Below are 21,049 nucleotides of genomic sequence, written 5' to 3' on the forward strand. Positions count from 1 at the left end.
AAAACTTGGCTGGGCATTGTGGCTCACACCTGGAATCCCAGTAATTTGAGAGGCCGAGGTGGGTGGATCACCTGACGTCAGGAGTTCGAGACCAGCCTGGCCAACATGGTGAAACCCCGTCTCTACTAAAAATGCAAAAAATTAGCCAGGCGTGTTGGTGGACACCTGTAATCCCAGCTACTTGGGAGCCTGAGGCAGGAGAATCGCTTAAACCCAGGAGGCGGAGGTTGCAGTGAGCCGAGATTGCACCACTGCACTCGAGCCTGGGCAAAAAGAGCAAAACTCCATCTCAAAAAAAAAAAATTTTTTTTTTCGGCTGGGCGTGGTGGTTTATGTCTGTAATCCTGGCACTTTGGGAGATCGAAGTGAGAAGACTGCCTTAGCCCAGGAGTTTGAGACTAGCCTGGGTGACATAGTGAAACCCTACTTCTACAAAAAATTCTTTTTTTTTTTTTTGAGACAGAGTCTCACTCTGTTGCCCAGGCTGGAGTGCAGTAGTGCAATCTTGGCTCACTGCAACCTCCACCTCCTGGGTTCAAGTGATCCTCCTGCCTCAGCCTTCTGAGTATCTGGGATTACAGGTGCGCACCGCTATGCCAGGCTAATTTTTGTATTTTTAGTAGAGACAGGGTTTCACCATGTTGGCTAGGCTGGTCTCGAACTCCTGACTTCAGGTGATCTGCCCACCTCAGCTTCCCAAAGTGCTGGGATTACAGGCGTGAGCCACTGCACCTGGCTCCCAAAAATTCTTAAAAATTAGCCAGGTGAGGCCAGGCATGGTGGCTCACACCTGTAATCCTTGCACTTTGGAAGGCCCAGGTGGGTGGATCACTTGAGGTCAGAAGTTCGAGACCAGCCTGACCAACATGGTGAAACCCCATCTCTACTAAAAATATAAAAAAAATCAGCTGGGCATGGTGGCACATGCCTATAATCCCAGCTACTTGGGAGGCTGAGGCAGGAGAATCACTTGAACCCAGGAGGCAGAGGTTGCAGTGAGCCAAGATCGTGCCATTGCATTCCAAGCCTGGGCATCAAGAGCGAAACTCCATCTCAAAAAAAAAAAGTGGGGGAAAAAAAAAAGCCAGGTGTGGTGGTGTGTGCCTATAGTCCCAACTACTTGACCTCCTAAAGTGCTGGGATTACAGGTGTGAGCTACTATACCTGGCCTCCTTCCGTTTTCTATCATACCCCACATCCAATTCATCAGCAAATCCTGTCGCTCGCTATTCCTTCAATATGTATCCAGGGTCTGACCACTTCTCTCTGTTCCCATCAGCAACACTTTGGAACAAACTACCACCATCTCTCATGTCTCCTCCTCTGCTTCCTTCACATCTGTTTCCACACGTGTCTACCTTAAGCTATTCTCAACACAGTAGAGATTCTTTTCACATGTAATTCTGATCATGTCACTCCTCTGCTCAGAACCTTCCAGTGGGTCCCAAATCACCCAGGGTAAAAGCCCAAATCCCCATAAGGACCTCTGAGGTCCTGTGATGCGACCCTACCCTCCTCTCTCTCTCTCTCTCGCCCCTTGCCATTCTTCCCCTGTCACTTTGCTCCAGGCTCCTTGAACCCACCAAACACATTTCTACCTCAGGGTCTTTGCATTTGCTGGTTCTTTTGTCTAAATTACTCTTCCTTCAGGTAGGCACATGACTTACCCACATTCTTCAAATTTTATCTCTTAAGAGAGGGGGCAAGGCTTCCCTGAGTACCCTCCCTAAATAGCAGCCGTCATTATTCTATCCTCCTATGCTGCCTCATTTTCTTCATAGCACTTACGGCCACTTCATGTATTTCTTTTTTTCTTTCTTTCTTTTTTTTTTTTTTTTTGACAGAATCGCCCATGCTGGAGCACAGCAGTGCAATCATGGCTCACTGCAGCCTCGACCTTCGGCTCAATCGATCCTCCTGTCTCAGCCTTCTGAGTAGCTGTGACTATAGGCATGTAATTTGAGAGGCCGAGGCGGGTGTCACCTGAGGTCAGGAGTTTGAGACCAGCCTGGCCAACATGGTTGAAACCCTGTCTCTACTAAAAATACAAAAAAATTAGCCAGGCATAGTGGCACATGCCTGTAGTCCCAGCTACTCAGGAGGCTTAGGTAGGAGAATTGCTTGAACCCAGGAGGCGGAGGTTGCACTGAGCCAAGATGGTCCATTGCACTCCAGCCTGGGCGACAAGCAAAATTCCATCTCAGAAAAAAAAAAAAAAAAAAAAAAAAAAAACTCTCAAATTGAAGGGGACTGTAAGAAGATAGGGTCAGCTCAGCTGCAGTAAGATATAAGTCTCAGGAAGAAGCATGCTCTGGAGTCAAGGCAGAGAAGGACATTCTAGGCCAAAGAAATGGCTGTGCAAAGGTAGGAGGCATAGGGACAAGGGTTATTATTACAACTGTACCTCTTAAATTTACACAATAATTGTTGAGAATATGGCTTTTCCAGGCTAGGAAGTTGTGCTGCATCCAAAAATGCTAAAGTCTATTTCAGCCGGGAGAACACTGACAGCTGGGAAAGGACCACACGTGGCGTGCCCATAACCTAAGTTGTTCAGATTTAGGAAGTGACCCCAGTAAGTCCTTTCGGAGTTTCGTGTAAGATTGACTTCTTCAGCTGGGGGCAGTGGCTCACGCCTGTAATCCCAGCACTTTGGGAGGCCAAGGCGGGCGGATCACCTGAGGTCAGGAGTTCGAGACCAGCCTGGCCAACATGGTGAAACCCCTGTCTCTACTAAAAAATACAAAATTTAGCCAGGTGTGGTGGTGGGCGCCTGTAATCCCAGCTACTCGGGAGCCTGAGGCAGGAGAATCCCCTGCACCGGGGAGGCGGAGGCTGCAATGAGCTGAGACTGCGCCACTGCACTCCAGCCTGGGTGACAGAGTGAAACTCCATCTCAAAAAAAAAAGAAACCAGCCTGGCCAACATAGTGAAATCCCGTCTCTTCTAAAAATGCAAAAATTAGTTGGGTGTGATGGAGGGCGCCTGTAATCCCAGCTACTCAGGAGGCCAAGACACGAGAATCGCTTGAACCTGAGGGGATGGGGGGCAGAGGATGCAGTGAGCCGAGATTGCCGAGATAGCGCCACTGCATTCCAGCCTGGGCAACAGTGAGAGCCTCCATCTCAAAAAAAAAAAAAAAAAATGGACTTCTTCCTCATTGACCTGTGGTGGCTCCAAGGCCATCAAAAAAAAAAAAAATGGACTTCTTCCTCATTGACCTGTGGTGGCTCCAAGGCCATCATCTCACAGCCTTTTTTTTTTTTTTTTTTTTTGAGACGGAGTCTTGCTCCCTTGCCCAGGTTGGAGTGGAGCTGCATGATCTCGGCTCACTGCAACCTCCGCCTCCCAGGTTCAAGCATTCTCCTGCCTCAGCCTCCTGAGTAGCTGGGATTACAGGCGCGTGCCACCACGCCCAGCTAACTTTTGCATTTTTAATAGAGACGGGGTTTCACCATATTGGTCAGGCTGGACTCGAACTCCTAACCTCATGATCCGCCCGCCTCGGCCTCCCAAAGTGCTAGGATTACAGGCGTGAGCCACTGCGCCCGGCCTCATCTCACATCTTTCTTCCTCTGCAGCACACGACACGCCCTAGTTGGAAACAAAGTCGGAGTTTGTGGATTGGGGGAAGGGCGGGGTCTAACCTCAGGTCAGGCGCCGTGCAAGGTACATCTTGGCACCCGGAAGAGGCCCAGTACAGTTGCCCCCGAGGTGACCCGACCTCCCCTACCAATTGAGGCGCCCTTGTTGCCAGGCTTGCGGCGGGGGAGCGGCGGGGGAGCGACGGGGATGCGCTCATTGGTCAAGGAAGGGGCGCCTGTTACTAGAGGCGAGAACCGGAGCCCATTGGTCGGAACACCTCACAATGGACCCCAGCGGCGCGCAAAATCCTTATGATTGGTTTGCTGGCTGCCTCGGGAGACCCTGTTGCCAGGATACTTGGCGTTCCCGACCCGACCCCCGTTCCCCATTGGCTGTCAGGGCAAAAGCCGCCATCTAATGAGGAGCGAGGTGCGGTGCCCCGAAGCGCTCGCTTCCCGCGGTGCGATCTAGTCCTGCAGTAGGCGGCCCGGGGCCACACCGCGGCCGCCCAAGCCAGTGCAAGGCCCAGGGGCCTGACATCGCTCCCAGCGCTCGAGGACCGAGGCCTGCTGTGGAGGACACCGTGCTCCCTCGGGACCTGCTCTGGATTCCGGCCCGGACGTCCCCTTGGAGCTCTGCATCTCCAACCTGGAACCCAACCCAGAAGTCTCAAGTTTGACGCATCACGTGGCGTGCGGATCCACTGAGGGTCCACAGAGAGGGGCGCCCATCTCCTGCGTCTCAGTTATCCTGGTAATTGTGTATCTGCCCATTGTTCGTTGCCTCATTAACTTGGCTTTCTAGGTGCACCCACCTTGCCACCAGAGAAGTCCAAATCCTGACTTCTCTCCAAGGTGTTGGGAATTCTGTGCCCTAAAGAATTCCGACTCAGATCCGAACGGGGATCTGGTGGAATCGAGGGTGAAAGACCAGAGGGACAATGTTCTACTATCCCAACGTGCTTCAGCGCCACACCGGCTGCTTTGCCACCATCTGGTAAGGGCGGGGCCCGTTGGCGCGCGATGGCGGACGCTGCCCGGGATCCCAGCCTGACAGCTCCCCCTCCATCCCCATTCTCCCACCTTCCCCACCCACTTCAGGCTGGCGGCGACTCGCGGCAGCCGGTTGGTGAAGCGCGAATACCTGAGGGTGAATGTGGTGAAAACCTGGTAAGGCCCAGAAAAGGGAAGGAGGGCCTGGTGCGGGGGGTGAGTTAGGGGATGGGGTGGCCAAGACTGTGGGCCCACTCCTGGACGCAGCGGTAATCAGGGCGCATTGTTCCCCAGCGAGGAAATCCTCAATTACGTGCTGGTACGAGTGCAACCCCCGCAGCCCGGCCTGCCGCGGCCCCGCTTCTCCCTCTATCTCTCAGCCCAACTTCAGATCGGTGTGATCCGCGTCTATTCTCAACAATGCCAGTACCTCGTGGGTAAGGCTGGGAACCCTCAAAGGTGGGGCGGGCTGAGCAGCTGTCTGCTAAGCTGGCTGTCTACCTCGTCCTCCCTGCCCACAGAGGACATCCAGCACATCTTGGAGCGCCTCCACCGTGCCCAGCTGCAGATCCGAATAGATATGGAGACTGAGCTGTGAGTGTGCCCTGGGCCTTTGATGGAACACCTGCTAGCTTGGCCTCAGCCTGGCTCAGCCTCAGTCCTTCACGGCCTACATTCTCTCCCAGACCCAGCCTGCTGCTTCCTAACCACCTGGCCATGATGGAGACCCTAGAAGATGCTCCAGATCCCTTTTTTGGGATGATGTCTGTGGATCCCAGACTTCCTAGTCCTTTCGATATCCCTCAGGTAGGGCTCATTCCCCAAGACTCGTGAATTGGCAATGCAGAAGGGGAGTGCTGTCCCTGTGTCACTCTGACATTGGGGTTGGGGAAGGAAGCTTACCACAGCTCTCTCCCACAGGAGATGGTGCAGGGGGACTGCCAAGGTGGACCCATCCAGGCGAAGCCCCCTGTACTTACCTACTCAGGGCCAATCTGATCAGACGGTTTCCCCACTGGAGGCAGCTCTTGTCCCCACTTGTCTCCACACTGTTTTCACTGCCAAGGCCCTAATCCAGGCTCTCATCTCTCTGCACTGGGCTTTCTTACCCCTGTCCTCCTCCATCTATTCCCAATACTCCTACAGCTTAATGTCACCCCCTTCCTTGGTTCCCCATTTGAACAGTGGCTCCTGCTGCAAACAGATTACTAGCATTTGGGGCTCTCCATGCCCCATTTATTTCTTTTTTTATTTTATTACTATTATTATTATTATTTTTGAGACAGGATCTTGCTCTGTGGCCCAGGCTGGAGTGCAGTGGCACGATCTCAGCTTACTGCAACCTCTGCCTCCCCGGTTCAAGCAATTCTCCTGCCTCAGCCTCCCGAGTAGCTGGGACTACAGGCATTTGCCACCATGCCCAACTGATTTTGTATTTTTAGTTGAGACAGGGTTTCACCATGCTGGCCAGGCTGGTTTCGAACCCCTGACCTCATGATCTGCCTGTCTCCTCCTCCTGAAGTGCTGGGATTACAGACATGAGCCACAGAGCCCGGCCCAATTTTTTTAGGGTTTCGCCTTATCGGCCAGGCTGGTCTCGAACTCCAGACCTCAGGTGATCCACCCACCCTGGCTTTCCAAAGTGCTAGGATTACAGACGTGAGCCATCGCGCTGGCCTATTATTATTATTTTTTGAAATGGAGTCTCTGTCACCCAGGCTGGAGTGCAGTGGCATGATCTTGGCTCACTTCAACCTCCGCTTCCTCTGGTCAAGCGATTCTCCTGCCTCGGCCTCCCGAATAGCTGGGATTACAGATGCCTGCCACCATGCCCGGCTAATTTTTGTATCTTTAGTAGAGATGGAGTTTCATCATGTTGGTCAGACTGGTCTTGAACTCCTGATCTCAGGCACTCCACCCGCCTCGGCCTCCCAAAGTGCTGGGATTACAGGTGTGAACCACCGTGCCTGGCACATACCCCAGTTTAGAACTAGTCATCCCCAGACTTCTCTCTCAGTCCTCTGGGCATCTGTGGCTCCTAAACACTAGTTTGGCCCTTATGCCTCAATGATGCCACATTCACATCTTTGCTTGTACTGTTTCCCTAGCCCATAATGGTCACCCCTCATCCTCTACAAGTCGGGTTCTACATATTCTTACAGACCTGGCTCAAATGCTGCCCTTCTCTATGAAATATTTATCCCAGTCTTAGCCGGAACCAAATGCAGTTTGGGAACTCAGTACTTTGCTAGGGCCTTGTTTTACCCTTTGCCTTGACTCTTGTGGGGTTACATACAACCTTGTCTCCCCACTAGACTTCCTTAAGATCAAGAATCTTTTCTGTTCACCTCTGTCAACCACAACACTTGCCAAGGATAACGATGCACTGCTGCTTGCACAAATTTTTTTTTTTTTTTTTTGAGACAGAGTCTTGCTCTGTCACCCAGGCTGGAGTGCAGTGGCTCAATCTCAGCTCACTGCAATCTCTGCTTCCCAGGTTCAAGCAATTCTCCTGTCTCCGCCTCTCAAGTAGCTGGAATTACAGGCACTGCTACCAAGCCCGGCTAATTTTTGTATTTTTAGTAGAAATCAGGTTTCACGATGTTGGCCAGGCTGGTCTGGAACTCCTGACATCAAGTGATCCACCCACCTCAGCCTCCCAAAGTGCTGGGATTACAGACATGAGCCACCGAGCCCGGCCTTCTTGCACAAATTGATGAGGGCTAGATAACTGGGGTGCGGGTTGGGGAGGGAGGTGAGAACAGGAACTGAGGAAAGAAGACCAGAGGGCGGGTGAGTTTACTGCAAGCTGATGTCAATGCAACAAGAATTAGGCATAAAAGGAGATTACCGTGCATTGTTGAAGAAGGCTGTGAAAAGTGGGAAAGCAGGGGGCTGAAGCTGAACCCTATCTTTTGTTTCCAATCCCTCTCCAAAGATTCGACACCTCTTAGAGGCTGCAATCCCAGAGAGAGTTGAAGAGATCCCTCCTGAAGTTCCTACAGAGCCCAGGGAGCCAGGTCAGCAGAGAGAACCTTCTTTCTGGTGAGAGGCATAGGCAGGCCCAAGAGCTGTAGAAATGACCATTTTTGAGCTTAAGAGCCAGGCCTTGTGAGGGGCGCTTTTTTTTTTTTTCGAGGCAGAGTCTCACTCTGTTGCCCAGGCTACAGTGCAGTGGCACGATCTCGGCTCACTGCAAGCAATTGTCCCGCCTCAGCCTCCCTAGTAGCTGGGATTACAGATGTGCACTACCATGCCCGGCGAATTTTTGTATTTTTAGTAGAGATGGGGTTTCACCATGTTGGCCAGGCTGGTCTCAAACTCCTGACCTCAGGTGATCCACCCGCCTCGGCCTCCCAAAGTGCTAGGATTACAGGTGTGAGCCACCGTGCCTGGTGAGGGGCATTTTATGTGTATAACCTCATCAGTACCTCACAAGAGTCCTCTGAGGTCAGATTTCTTATCCTTTTTTTTTTTTGAGAGATGGGGTATCACTCTCTAGCCCAGGCTGGAGTACAGTGGTGCACTTTAGGCTCACTGCAACCTCCGCCTCCCGGATTCAAGCAATTCTCCTTCCTAGTAGCTGGGATTACAGGCATGCACCACCACGCCCAGCTAATTTTCGTATTTTTAGTAGAGATGGGTTTTTGCCATGTTGGCCAGGCTGGTCTCAAACTTCTGACCTCAGTTGATCCACCCACCTCAGCCTCCCAAAGTGCTGGGATTACAGGCGTGAGCCACCATACTCGGCTTTTTTTTTTTTTTTTTCTTTTTTTCCCAGGCTGGAGTGCAGTGGTATGATGATCATAGGTCACTGCAGCCTTGACCTCCAGGGCTCAAGCAATCCTCCCACCTCAGCCTCCAGAGTAGCTGGGACCACAAGGATAAGCCACCACACCTGGCTAGTTTTTAAATTTTTTGTAGAGACAGGGTCTCGCTATGTTGCCCAGGCTGGCCTCAAACTCCTGGGCTCAAGCGATCCAAAGTGTTGGGATTACAGGTGTGAGCCACTTCGCCCAGCCTCCCCACTTTACCGATGAGGAAAGTGAGGCTCACAGTGGTTAAGCAGTGTACCCAGGGTCAGGATGCCAGAGATTAGCCTGGGTCTGATTAGAATCCAGGTTACCTTGACTTCAGAGTCCATGCTTTTCCTTAACTGCATGGCTGTGGGAATTTGGAAAGAAGCAGAGAGGCTAGTGACTCTCTTGTCCCTCCAGAGAGGATTCCGGTCACTGTGCTGCCACCTGAGGCCATCACGATCCTGGAGGCAGAGCCCATACGGATGCTGGAGATTGAGGTGAGTTCCCCTGCACACAGGGCCTGAGGTCCAGCCCCCTTGCATGTACTTCTCTCTGTCCCCAGAGTCCTGCCTTTTCTGTCTCCATTTCCCTATTCTCTGTCCCTGGCACTTGAGCACCCAGTGGCTTCCTTGAACCTGGCCCTGTGGCATGCCTCTGGGATCCACTCTCCTGGATCCACTTGCCTTTTTCAGAAATATTATTGAATCCCCTCCCCTTGCTCTTCCTCTCTGGACAGGGTGAACGGGAGCTCCCAGAGGTCAGCCGCCGAGAACTGGACCTGCTGATCGCAGAGGAAGAAGAAGCTATCTTGTTAGAAAGTAGGTGTCTCCGGCAGCGTAGGGCCCGCCTGGAGCTGGATAGTCAGACCCCTGGCGTGGGCATTCTGGGACTGGGCAATGCTCCCATTTCTCTTTTTCTGTCCTCTGAACTCTGATTCTCTCTCCACAGTCCCGCGGCTCCCACCTCCAGCTCCTGCAGAGTAAGGGCAAGAACTCCTAGACCAGGTAGGGTGTCAGTGCTGGGAAGGGTCTCCTCATTTCTCTTGCCCATTTCCCCTCAGGGTGGAAGGAATAGGAGAGGCACTGGGTCCTGAGGAGCTGAGGCTGACAGGCTGGGAACCTGGGGCCCTACTCATGGGTGAGTGCCCACCATGCCCCAGGGGCTTTTCTGGGAGTACCTGGATACTGCTGCAGACAAGGGCTTTATATCCCAACTTGCTAAAGGGAGGACCCTGCAGTTTCTTGCCCTGGCATCTGCAAGGGGTAAGGGGCTTATGGGACAGAGCCCCTTGGGTGTTGTTGCAGAGGTGACCCCCCCGGAGGAGCTGCGTCTGCCAGCCCCACCCAGCCCAGAGGTGAGTAGCCTCCCTTCTAATCCTCCTCCTCCTCCTCTTTGCCCTCCCCCACAAGGACTGCCTCCCCAAGCCCAGGGCCACTGCTAGCTTACAGGGGTCCTTAATGCAGATGATAAAAGATGCCCCTTTCTACGCCCCATCGTATCTGGCCTACGCTTCCCAGATGGGTACCCTTATGCAAGGTATGAGCTGCTCAAGTGCATGGAGACCCCGCACAAGCCCTCTCCAGGTTCCTCTAGGGGCGGGTGTGGGGTCCTGTTAGCAGTCCACCAGAATGACAGGAAAAGGAGTAATGGGCAGCCTTGCCCCTACCTGCCCTCCCCACTCAACAGAGGAGGCCCCCAGTCCCCCCACCTCCTCGCCGCCGCCGTCGTCGCCGGTTACTGTTCTGGGACAAGGAGACTCAGATCTCCCCGGAGAAATTCCAGGAACAACTGCAAACCAGAGCCCACTGCTGGGAATGTGTGAGTGCAGCCCAGGCTTTGCCGGGGAAGGGAGGGAGGCAGGGATGACCAGGGGCACATGCAGGCTGAGCCTTCCAAACTCCTCAGGTGGGTGGGGGGAGGATTGGGAACTTGATGAAAAATCTCCTCCATTCTCCAGAAAATGCAGGCGATGTGGGTTTGCACATATACAACTCTTCATGCTCCTTTAGTGACCCACCTGTCATACCCATGGGCACCAGGTTAAAAAGTCCTTCTTTTAGCAATGAGCAGGGCAGGCAGGGTCATGAGCGCAAAAGCTGGGGAAGTCCAGAAGCCCCAGAACAGTGCATTGCAAAGAGGCAAAGGGGCCCTGAGGAGTGGCTGCTTTATAATGGGGCTTCTGACCTTCCCCCACTACACAGCCTATGGTGCAGCCGCCCGAGAGGACCATCAGAGGCCCTGCGGAGTTGTTCAGAACCCCAACTCTCTGTAAGAATGGTGGGGGTTGGGCACGAAGTATCCTCAAAACCAATTCCTCATTCCTGGTGCTCCTCACGCCTCAAACCCCGTGCCTACTACCCTCTTGTCCACAGCTGGCTGGCTACCCCCTGAACTACTGGGTCTCTGGACCCATTGTGCCCAGCCACCCCCAAAAGCCCTCAGGCGAGAGCTGCCTGAGGAGGCAGCCGCTGAGGAGGAAAGGAGAAAGATTGAAGTTCCAAGTGAGATTGAGGTAACTGCACCACCTGTTTACTGCATCGCCCCAGTGCCAGGGTCTGCCTGACCAGCTGGCTGCCCTCTCCTGCTATGAGAGCCAACAGCACAGGCTCACTGGCCTTGTGCCTTCTGAGGCCCAAGTCCCAGATGCTTGGGGTCTTAGTTCTACTTCTCCCATCCCCAGGTCCCGAGGGAGGCCCTGGAGCCCAGTGTTCCCCTTATGGTGTCTTTAGGTAAGCACCTAGAGAAGAGGCGCAGTGGGACCACACCCTAACCACTGTCCCAGGAAACTAGTATCCCAACTGCTGAAGCTGTTTTATGAGTGAAGGCGTGTGTGTGTGACATAAGGAAGCACGGACTGGTCCTCCTCAGCTCTCCCACCTATGTGCTTTTAACAAGTCACCGCACGGCTCTGCCATCTACTTACACCAGGTGGCCACAAGGCCCTAACTGCCACCCAAGCAGACACCCACTAGCGCCTTTCCTCCCCCAACAGAGATCTCCCTAGAGGCAGCTGAAGAGGAGAAGTCCCGCATCAGCCTCATCCCACCAGAAGAACGGTGGTAAGCGGCCAGGCTCCGTGGGAGCCAGGGCCCACAGCCCTTGGCCAGGTGGTGGAAACAGCTGCTGGGATGGGTATGCCCCTTGTCACTGTCACAGCTGCCACCTTCCCTACTCTCTCATGTCCTCCTAGGGCCTGGCCTGAGGTGGAGGCGCCAGAAGCTCCTGCATTGCCCGTGGTGCCTGAACTCCCTGAGGTGCCCATGGAGATGCCTTTGGTGCTGCCCCCAGAGCTCGAGCTGCTCTCACTGGAAGCAGTGCACAGGTACCAGGGAGGTGGCACCTTGATGGGGTGGACCCGGGCTGAAGCCTCTGCTAATGGTTCTTGATCCCTATAGGGCAGTGGCACTGGAGCTGCAGGCTAACAGGGAGCCCGACTTCAGCAGCCTGGTGTCACCTCTCAGCCCCCGCAGGATGGCTGCCCGGGTCTTCTACCTGCTCCTGGGTGAGTGTATGCATGTGTGTGTGTGTATGTGGGGCAGGGACACAGAGACCAGAGGCCCGTACAGGGACTCCCCCGACCTGCCCTCTCCTCGCCTCTTGACCAGTGCTCTCAGCGCAACAGATTCTTCACGTGAAACAAGAAAAGCCATATGGTCGCCTCCTGATCCAGCCGGGGCCCAGATTCCACTGAGGTTAGAGTCCATTTACAAAGCTGCCAGGAAACCGGCCACTTCTAGTAAACCACGTCGTGCCTCACTGGGTCCTGCTTACCTCATTTCTGAATGTGCATTTCCAGCCTTCTTGCTCTCAGAGCTATTGTTCAAGCAGAAAACAAGCTGCTTTTATTACAGTATGATGTCATGACTCATTTGTAACAGATCCAGCCTCAGGGACAGCCCTGTAAGGCAGCAAGTGGGGCTGGCTCCAAATGGGTATGAGTCTCAGAATCTTTGGTAAGGCAGAACTGAACTGGGCTGAGAGGTGGTCTTAAGGCCTGGGCAGGCTCTATTCTCTCTGGACTGGCTGCAGCCTGCAGTCTAGGAGAGGCCCAGTACAGCCTGGAGCTCCTGAGCCTTGTCAACAGGCAGTGAGCCCAGAGCTGCTTGAAAGCTGTCGGTGTGCTGTTTGGCCAGGAACGTCAGGAGCAGCAACAGTGCGGCCTTGGTGTCTGGGTGGAGAGGGAGGGAGAAAGGTCGGGGCTCCTAAAGCCTCGCTGCCCCAGGCTCTCTGAGCCCTGCCACTCCCAGCCTCCCGCAAGCCCCTGCCTATGACTCCTACCCTCACCTGGTGGGATCTTGTTGTCAGCCAGAATGAGGCTGCAGATACGCAGAAGCTCGGGAGCCACATCTATAACCTGTGAGGAAAGAGTGGCTGACTCAGGGCAGCAGCCCCAGACCCCAGGTCTAGGAGGGTGGTCAGGACCAAGGAGTGGCAGAATCTCTTATCAGGGGGGTGGTTGCACCTGGTACTGATTCACAGGCATCCAAGACAACTATGAACATGAGAAGAACCAATGAAACTTGGTGCTAATGATTTTTTTTGGAGGGAATGGGGGATGTGGGACAAGATGATTAAAGTCATAGCCTCAAGACCTAAAGAAACCCAGACACTCAGGAGCTTCACCTACACAACAGTCTCTAAAGGTATAAGACAAGGGTGACACAAACACTCTGACATGACTCCAAACCTAGCTACTTGGTACAGGCAAAATCTCTTCAGAGAGCAGAGCTGATCTGATTGAAATGTATGGTGTGGTGGCCCAGAGGTACCCTGGGCTCCACAGAGCACAGTTTGAAAGGGCCCCGGTTTAGGAAACCAGCCTAGGAAAACTGCAACTTCTGGCTCAGACCAAAGGGTAGAAATGGAGCTTCCTCAGGAAAAATGCTACGTGGAGAAAGGAAGTCCCTCCTGTCCCATCACAGGACTGGCTGCCAATCCTTGCAGACAAATAAGAAATGGTGCAGGGAGTACCAAAAGAACAGCTGAAACTGTCACCTTGCATCAGGTGCAACTGACAGCCTGGAGCTCCCGAGCCTCATCAGCAGACAGTGCCTATCACTGAGTGGAGCGGCACGTTCCCCTCTGAGGGCTGCCAGCAGCAAGGTTACCTGGTCAGGGCTGCTCTGGTACAGGAAGCTGAAGAGGCGCCCAATGGTGACCCACTCCTCCAAGTCCTCCTTCAGTGGCAGGGCATGCAGTAGGGCAGCCAGCACCTGGGCACACAAATGTCTCAGGCCAACCTGCCCTGCCCTCCACCACCCTCCCTCCTCAGCTTCCAAGCCCTGCCTGATGTCTCCCTCCCTCACCTGGGGCTCTGGTTTCCTGGTGGGACTGGCCATCAACAGGCGGGCAAGTGCCCCACAGATGTTGTCACGGACACGATCATGTCGCTCCCGCGCCAGGAGGGGAAAAAGGAGCCCCAGCAGCTTGGGGAAGTGTCTGGTCCACAGTCAAGGAATGGCCACACGCTCAGGTAGACCTTGCCCACCTGCAAGCCCTGGGGACACTCCCCCAACCTCCAGTCCCTCCCGTCCTGCGAGCCAAGGATACTCCTGGGCAGGGTGGCCCCCATGCTCTGCCAGCACGCCCATCCCGAAGATGGCATTGCTTCGCACCTCGGGGTCTGCCTCTTGGGCGGTGCTCAACAGCACAGGGAGCAGCCGAGACACAAACTGGGCTGAGGCAGCACCCAGGCCCTGAATAGTCTCTGCCAAGGTCCCCACTGCAAAGGACTTCTCTGCCACTGTGCAGCCCTGTTTCTGATGGGGGAGAACAGGAAGGAGTACAGATCAGCCTGGGCCAAGGATAAAGGCTGTGGTGGGCACCGGGTGCACGAGGGGACTAGGGCTTGAAGCCAGAAGATGGACACTCACTGTCTTGCACACCAATAATGGCAGGAAACCGGCAAAGAATGGGGCAAAGGAGTCTCCCCCAGCCGCGGCTGCCAGGGCAGGGATGGCCTCTCCAGCGTGCTCCAGCAACATGGCGTCGTATTCAGCCTGTGGAGCCAGGTCAGGGGCTGGAGCACCAGGGCCAGCTCAGTGACTGTACACCTCCCTCCCACGCTCTGCCACCAGCTGCAGGGGTCCCTGGGGCTGCCCTTGGTTGATAGGGCTGGCCCCTCTCAAGCTGGGTGTTTCCATGACCCAGCTTCTTCCCCTGGCTCTTCTGCTCCTACCTATCACTCCAAGCACACCCCAGTCCACACTGCTCTCCTTCCCTGAACTCCCACTGGCTTAGTGGGATCAGGGTTGTATCCCTCTGGCCATTACCAGTCTCTTTTAGTGGCCCTGGCTGCCCCAGGCCAAGCCCAAATACACTGTCCACCCCTGTCCCTGTGGAGACTGCCTGGACCGCCTGGTCCCCGTTTTTATCCCTGGCTCTCACCTGATCATCATCTTCCTCTTCCTCCTCCTCGTCAGTATCCTGACAGGCTGTCTACAAGAAGTAGCTCAACTTAGCGGAGCTTTCACGCCCCTTCTCTTTTCATGGGGGTAGGGGGTGGACTTGTAGCCAGTCCCCAACCGAGGCCCAGCACCTCTCCTTCCCGAAGCCCACCTGCCCTGCTCACCTTCCTCTGCAGCACAGCCTTGAGCACGCCACAGAGCTCAGCGAGGCGCCCAGGGGGCTTCAGTGTGAGGGTCCCACAGCTGCGGAGCACCCCTGTCAGGGCCTCCAGCACGGCCATCACCACCTGGCGTTCCCGCTCCCTGTTCACTGCCTGCATGTAGGATGGCACGACTCGGGCCAGGGCAGCCTGCAAAGCTGGGGACATTATTGGCTGAAGCACCAGTCAGGCCCTGCCCCTCCCCAAGAACCCCCAGCCTGGCCCAGCCTCTCCTCACCAGCAGTGTTGGGTTCCGAGGGGCAGCTTTGACAGGCCTTGTGCAGTGCACAGCAAAACTGACCCAGAGCCTCATGGGCTGCCTTCCGCACATTCAGGTGAGGGCACTGCAGGATGAGGAGGGGCGGGATATGTCTGCTATGTGCACCGTGAACACAGGGCCCCCAGCCTGAGAACCCCACCCACTCCACCCGCCGGCCCGCTCACCTCCAGCAGTTTAAATACTTCTTCAAAGACACTTTCCATGTATGGAAGGAAGGCCACACTACAGAGAGAGACACAGCCGTGGGTAAGGGGCCCCCAGGCAGGGTTTTCAGTGCCAGGGAAGGGCGAATGCTCACCTGGTGTTCACAGAGATCTCCCCCACGGCAGCACAGGTGTCTTCCTTCTCATCGAAGAAGGCATTCTCCACGCTGTACCTAGAGTAAGAAGGGGAGGCAGTGGTGATCAGGCACCAAGAGGAGCAGATCCAGCACTAGGCCCTTGTCTAAAGCCAAAGTCTAGATTCCTGATCAGAAGAGCACCCCTCCGCACCCTGAGATCTCTGAGTCATCCTCTTCTTCCACATCCTCATCCATGAGCTCCTCCTCTTCTTCCCCATCACTCTCATCGTCAAACAGAAGGAAGGAGCTGCTCCCGTCATACTGAGGCTGGAGCGGAGGCACGGCAAGGACTTTGGCTCAGCTGGGCCCAGGAGATAAATCCCATTGCAGGGCAGGCCTGGCCCAGCCCACCCACCCTTTGCTCACCACAATGCCCTCGGTGGAACGCAGTGACAGCAGCATGAGCGTGGTGATCTGTTCCAAGTGGGGCGCCAGGCCCTCACCCATCAGACCCGATAAGGCTGCAAATAGGCTGTACCTGGTCAAAGCAGGCAGAAGAAGCTGTAAGGTCCTGCCTGCTACCACCAGGCAGGATGGGGGAGCCCGGGAACACCTGGCTATGGTCCAAACCAGACGACTGGAGTCTGGGGTGGGGATTCCAGTGGGTCCAGTGGGAAGACAGGAGGGGAGGGGACAAGGGCAGAGGCAGGGTGAGGGGTCACTCACGTGCAGCGCCGCAAGTCAGGGTCGTCTACCTGGTCGCAGAGGCCCAGACCCAGCTGGCAGCATTCCTCAGCCAGCGGCCTCATGGGCTCCCCCACTGCTCGTGCCAGCACCCCCAGTGTCTCTGTGGGGGCAAGGGCTCCATTAGCACCAGGAGGTGGAGGTGGGCTACGGGACCAAAGGTGGTGGCTGGGAGGGATTCAGAAATCCCGCCCCACCCCTTGGTACAGCATGAAGCACACCCCTTTGATGAGAAGGAAGACATCCGTGCTCCTGTGGGGGCAATCTGTCAACACCAGGTGAGCACCAGCCCTTTGCTGGCACTGGGAGCCCCACCTGGGAACCTCTCACTCACCCAGGCTCTGGATCTGCACAGGCTGAAGGTCCTCACGGCCTGTTAACAGGAATTCCCGCAGGTGCTCCATGATGGCAGGGAAGTAGGGCAGCAGCGAGGCCTGGGCAGCCGTAGCTGCAGGATGGAAGGACAGAATCAGAGCTGGAGAGGGCAGGGACCACCAGCCACAGGGCCTTTGGGTGAACCCCACATCCCTGCCTCCTGCCTCTCTCCTCACCAATGGCTCCCAGGGCGCTCACAGCCAGCTCCTTGGCCCGGGGACTGCTGGGGTTCCTCAGAAGCTGCAGCATGCATTCCATAAGCTCCGGAAGGTAGGGCTGCACCTTGGGCCCTGTGGGAAAGGATGCTCCTCTACCAACCAACCCAGGTCTGCTACCTGCACGCCCACCTCCCTCCAGGCGGAAACCTTTTTTTGGCACCATCACACCCTTTCCCCTACCACAGGCAGCAATGCAGGGAGATGCACATCCTGTACATTCAGCCAAAGCCGCCGCCTCATCCCCCTTCCCCAAGCTCCCCACTGCCATCACTACCTAGGTTCTCCACAAAATTCTCCAGGGCATAGCAGGCCTTGGCTAGGTGGTGTGTGTGTCCAAGAGGCACCGACTTCAAGTAGGCGAGGAGCAGTGGCATTACCTCCCTTGAATAGCTGCTGATATGGGGCTGGGGGAGGGAGCAAGCAGGGCCTGAGTCAGGTTCACCTGCCGGGCACACACAAGAGTGCTGATGGCAGCAGGGATGCTTGAAGAGATGAAAGATGAGGGGAAGGGGACATTCAAGTGGTGGCTCCCACATTCAGCCTGGTTCACCTGTAGGTTTTCTGAGAACTGGCCCAGGGCAAACAGCGCAGCATTGCGTACAACTTGCGAGGGGTCCTCCAGGCCCTTGCACACAATCTGCAGCAGTGGGGGCAGCAGTCTGGATGGGGCAAACAAGAGGACATAGGCTGAGAAGCTACACCTGAGAGCCCTAGGCTGACCTGTTCTCTTCATTTTCCCTGGAAAAACCAAGGCTTTTCCTGTCACCAGAGGGTGGGCAGCAGCCCCTGGTCCCTATAGCTGGTAAGCCATGTCATTTATCTTCCAAGCCAGGACACTTTTGATAATGGGGGGAAACGCTGTTGATAAATAAGCTTGAACAACAAGCGTAAACCAGGACAGCCATGGTCCTCCCTGTGGGCAACCCTCACCCTGGGACAGGGGAATACATACCTCTGCCTGATGTGGTCGCCAGCTCCGTCAGACAGCACGGCCAGCACCAGGAGTCCAGCTTTGCGCTGGTATGGGCTCTCGCTCCGCAAAGCCTCTTCCAACATGGGCATCTAGGGAAGCATGTGGCACGCTTCTGAAACCCCAGCAAGAGCCTGCCCATTCCTGTGGTAATAGGCCTTCACACCTCCCAGGGTCTAAACGTCGTTGGCCTCAGGGGGACTAGGCACACTTGGAGGTAGGGACACCAGAAGGACAGAGCCACACTTACCAGCTGGGGACAGAGCTTCTCGGGGGGCAGGTGTAGTGCCAGCATGTCCACAACCTGAGATGGGATGGGGAGACTTACTTTGCTTGACTCCATCTCTGCCTCCCCAACGTCCCACAGCCACCTAACACCTTCCCCCTCTGTCCTGCCCCACATCTCACTTGTACAGCGAAATGCTTGGGAGTCTCCCCCATCAGCTCAATCTCCAACTCTTCCTCTTCTGAATCCTGGTCCTCGGGATCCAACTGGCCTGGTGGGGGCTCAGCAGCCACAATGGGGAAAAGGGTGTGCAGCAAGGGTGGCAGGAGACGATTCTTCAGTAAGGCCTTGACAGAGAAGGTGGAACAGTGTCCCTAAGAATCTGCTCCCAGGATGGGCTCACATTAAAAATTCCAGTCTTCCAGGCCATAAGGGGTCTGACAGAAAATTCCCAACCTCCCAGGCAGGAGCTGGGGTGAGGCCAGGCCAAGGCTTGAACCCCCACAGTACTTTAGATACCCTGAGATGGACCGAAAGCCCCAGGAGTGAGACTAAGGGTGGAGATGGGGGTGGGGTGATGTGTGTCAATGGGCACTCACTTACCTTGCTCTTGACTTTGACCAAGAAAGTGAGGCAGCAGAGAATACGTATGCGTATCGCATTGCCCAGGGCCACATTTCTAGCTACCTGTCCACAGAATAATAAAAATCAGCGACAGGGAAGGAGAGTCCCAGCAGAGCATGTAGCAGGGGCCATGTCCACTCCAGGCTCACCTCCAGGCAGAATGTGAGGACTTCAGAGAGGTAGGGGGTGATGACCGGCACCTCTGACTCCAACAGTTCATCCAAAGCCTCAAGGGCCTCACAGGCCTTTGCCTGACAGACAAACAAGGCACAAGGTTACCATGCTCTTCTTCAGTGGGCCAAACTGGACACTTCTGCACTCTCCTTCCAACAGAGCTCCTGCCCACCTGTCCTCACCTCATCTATGGGGATCAGAGTCTGCATGGCCATGATCAGCTTGGGCACCAACATCCGAGCGAGAGGCTGAGGGACACATCACAGAGAGCATGATGCAGCCCAATCTCACACCCCAGCAGCTGGCAGCTTCCTCACAGCCTGAATTGCGAGGAGGAGCCCAGGCATAACAGCCAGGCCCACCTACAGCATCCCCTCTCAATTGTCAGGAAGGGCCACAGGCAGGTAAAGAATCCAAAGCAGCTTTGTAACTTTTACGGGTGAGGACATGAAGGCATGAGGAAAGGGAGTCAAAGATAACGAGGGCCCACATCTCACCACATCTTCAGTGCTGAGGTAGGGAGCCATGGTGGTCAGAGTGCGCAGGGAGTAGAAGAGCAGCCCAGGAGAGCCCACCTCACCAAGAGTCTCATTCAGAAGCCGAAGAAGCTCCCGGTGGTGGGGTTGGAAGGCCTCGGGCCGGGAGGTCACCACCACACTTAGCAGCAAAAGCCCCATCTGTCCAAGAATAGAGGATGGGAGAGCAAGCTTACAAGGTCTATCCAGCCTCTCAGGCCCTCCCTCCTGCCAACCATGTGATGGTACCTCTCTCTCTGGGCTGTGGGGGCTGTGGGTACTGTGCTGAAGCAGCTGCAAAAGCTGTGGCCAGGCCTCCAAGCCTTCCTTTCGAAAAATGGTGGCTGAGAGCTGGGCCAGGCTGAGGCTCACACAGTGCCTGCAAACAGGAGAGATCTCCTCCAATCACCCTTCAATACCTTCCTCTGCACACAGTGGCCAGGCTCAATGGGGCAGCCAGGACAGAAACTTTCAGGAGGTGTGGGCACAGGGTCTTTGCCAAGTTGGGACACATGAGACAGCAGCTCAGAGGGAGCCCAACAGCACTGTGGGCATGTAATCTGGTAAGTTCAGTCTAACTTAGCCTGAATTTCAGTCTTATTCTTCTGACTTGGGTTTGGCAGATCATCATCACCCTTCCTCAAGAACTTTAGTCTTCAAAACAGCCTTAAAATCCTCACTCCACCTTGCGTCTAGAACTGAAGTCCCTGCCCCACAAGTCCCAGCCTGGAGCCGAAAAGGAAGGCAGAAACCTAGACAAAGTCGTCAAGATCCCGAGAGAAGTGGGTAGGTACTTACTCTGTTTCTCTCTGCAGGGCCGTCAGGATCAGGGACTTGAGGCTGGAACACAGGTGGCAGGTGTTTGGTACCCAGCCTGCCCAAGAAAAGTCTCCGCCTGGCCCCGCCCCACCCCAGGCCCAGCCCACCTCTCCCGTTGCTCCGCCGCCAGCCGTCGCCAGCGGGTGTTCAGTCGTCTGCGGGTCAGCACGGCCGCAAACTGGCGGATCTAGGACGAGGAAGCAAGCACGTGGGGGTCCGGGCAGGAAGGTGCTGAGCGGACCGCAGTGGGCGAATACTGGGGCTTGACCGGTGGCGTACAGTGGGAAGCTCGGAGGGGAGAGTCAGGGGTCTCACCTGGGGGTCGGCCGCCGAGGCTAGCAGGTCGCAGAGAGCCGGCAAAGCGGCGGGGGCCCGAAGAACGATCTGGAGCTGTTCCGTGGCCTGGGGGGAAGCTAGGGGTGAGAGTTGGGCCTTTCCCGCAACCTCCCGCTCGCCCTGGCCCGGTTACGCCTGCTCCGTACCCGACGGATGCGCTCGGTGTCCGGTAGCAGCAGCTCCCGTAGGAGCTGCTCTAGCCCGGCTGACTCCATGGCAGCAACTGAGCCGCCGCTACTGGGCCGAAAAGGGGAGGGGGAGGGACAGCACGTGGAGGTTCTGACACCCACTTCCGGAGGAAAGGGCGTTGCTGCACGCCCCGCGGGTTGCCAAGGTGATTCAATTCGCTTCCCACAAAGAGGTCCGGCTCCTCCACTTCCGTTAGGCTGAGCACCGGCTGAATCGCGGAAACCCGACTCTGGCAATGTAGGTTCCCCACGCCGGGAGTTCCCAAGCTGGGTTGGAGAACTCGAGCTTCGGGCATTCAGTGGCCAGCTCGGCTTT

General features: G+C 55.5%; 2 protein-coding genes across 11 annotated transcripts, besides 5 other annotated features; one reads left to right on the top strand and one right to left on the bottom strand.

The window, feature by feature from the left end:
• Window positions 3,465-3,965: an enhancer, noted in NCBI's record as "H3K27ac hESC enhancer chr14:24640701-24641201 (GRCh37/hg19 assembly coordinates)". NCBI's record gives its function as "activates a minimal SCP1, AML or CMV promoter by ChIP-STARR-seq in naive H9 embryonic stem cells {active_cell/tissue: H9 hESC(naive)}" and the evidence as "EXISTENCE:reporter gene assay evidence [ECO:0000049][PMID:30033119]".
• Window positions 3,814-3,863: a silencer, noted in NCBI's record as "silent region_5629". NCBI's record gives its function as "represses an Ori minimal core promoter by ATAC-STARR-seq in GM12878 lymphoblastoid cells {active_cell/tissue: GM12878}" and the evidence as "EXISTENCE:reporter gene assay evidence [ECO:0000049][PMID:35858748]".
• Window positions 4,034-4,283: an enhancer, noted in NCBI's record as "active region_8193". NCBI's record gives its function as "activates an Ori minimal core promoter by ATAC-STARR-seq in GM12878 lymphoblastoid cells {active_cell/tissue: GM12878}" and the evidence as "EXISTENCE:reporter gene assay evidence [ECO:0000049][PMID:35858748]".
• Window positions 4,053-12,896, top strand: REC8 (REC8 meiotic recombination protein). Of its 9 annotated transcripts, NM_005132.3 has the most exons (20): window positions 4,053-4,338; window positions 4,440-4,581; window positions 4,686-4,754; window positions 4,872-5,014; window positions 5,099-5,171; window positions 5,264-5,384; window positions 7,516-7,597; window positions 8,795-8,874; window positions 9,114-9,195; window positions 9,326-9,356; window positions 9,438-9,514; window positions 9,682-9,731; window positions 10,064-10,195; window positions 10,579-10,645; window positions 10,750-10,889; window positions 11,058-11,106; window positions 11,370-11,436; window positions 11,568-11,699; window positions 11,773-11,879; window positions 11,983-12,227. In NM_005132.3, the coding sequence occupies exons 2-20, from the start codon at window positions 4,526-4,528 to the stop codon at window positions 12,066-12,068; spliced, it is 1,644 nt and encodes a 547-aa protein (NP_005123.2). In that variant the 5' UTR covers window positions 4,053-4,338; window positions 4,440-4,525; the 3' UTR covers window positions 12,069-12,227. The 9 variants fall into 9 exon arrangements, 8 of the variants coding, with proteins under 8 accessions (NP_005123.2, XP_024305562.1, NP_001041670.1 ...); XM_024449794.2 differs by having other exon boundaries at window positions 11,773-12,896; NM_001048205.2 differs by having other exon boundaries at window positions 4,053-4,581.
• IPO4 (importin 4) lies at window positions 12,192-20,789 on the bottom strand. Of its 2 annotated transcripts, none has more exons than NR_051979.2 (30): window positions 20,692-20,789; window positions 20,525-20,611; window positions 20,317-20,396; window positions 20,189-20,230; window positions 19,640-19,769; window positions 19,373-19,552; window positions 19,058-19,123; window positions 18,851-18,952; window positions 18,681-18,764; window positions 18,260-18,424; window positions 18,102-18,155; window positions 17,834-17,943; window positions 17,432-17,540; window positions 17,156-17,285; window positions 16,840-16,953; window positions 16,623-16,736; window positions 16,271-16,391; window positions 15,971-16,082; window positions 15,756-15,871; window positions 15,563-15,640; window positions 15,429-15,486; window positions 15,223-15,328; window positions 14,949-15,142; window positions 14,765-14,815; window positions 14,251-14,396; window positions 13,928-14,136; window positions 13,684-13,816; window positions 13,486-13,590; window positions 12,662-12,731; window positions 12,192-12,545 (listed from the first exon to the last, which is right to left on the bottom strand). NR_051979.2 is itself a non-coding variant. In NM_024658.4 (30 exons), exons 1-30 carry the CDS (start codon window positions 20,758-20,760, stop codon window positions 12,415-12,417), a joined length of 3,246 nt encoding a protein of 1,081 aa, NP_078934.3. In that variant the 5' UTR covers window positions 20,761-20,789; the 3' UTR covers window positions 12,192-12,414. The 2 variants fall into 2 exon arrangements, 1 of the variants encoding a protein (NP_078934.3); NM_024658.4 differs by having other exon boundaries at window positions 14,251-14,376.
• Window positions 19,785-19,995: a silencer, noted in NCBI's record as "fragment chr14:24657018-24657228 (GRCh37/hg19 assembly coordinates)". NCBI's record gives its function as "represses an EF-1alpha promoter that drives an FKBP-Casp9 reporter gene in an ReSE screen in HepG2 liver carcinoma cells {active_cell/tissue: HepG2}" and the evidence as "EXISTENCE:reporter gene assay evidence [ECO:0000049][PMID:32094911]".
• Window positions 20,241-20,360: a silencer, noted in NCBI's record as "silent region_5630". NCBI's record gives its function as "represses an Ori minimal core promoter by ATAC-STARR-seq in GM12878 lymphoblastoid cells {active_cell/tissue: GM12878}" and the evidence as "EXISTENCE:reporter gene assay evidence [ECO:0000049][PMID:35858748]".
• Window positions 20,790-21,049: the final 260 nt, after the last annotated feature.

This window comes from Homo sapiens, chromosome 14 (assembly GCF_000001405.40).
Source record: "Homo sapiens chromosome 14, GRCh38.p14 Primary Assembly".
Taxonomy (NCBI): domain Eukaryota; kingdom Metazoa; phylum Chordata; class Mammalia; order Primates; family Hominidae; genus Homo; species Homo sapiens.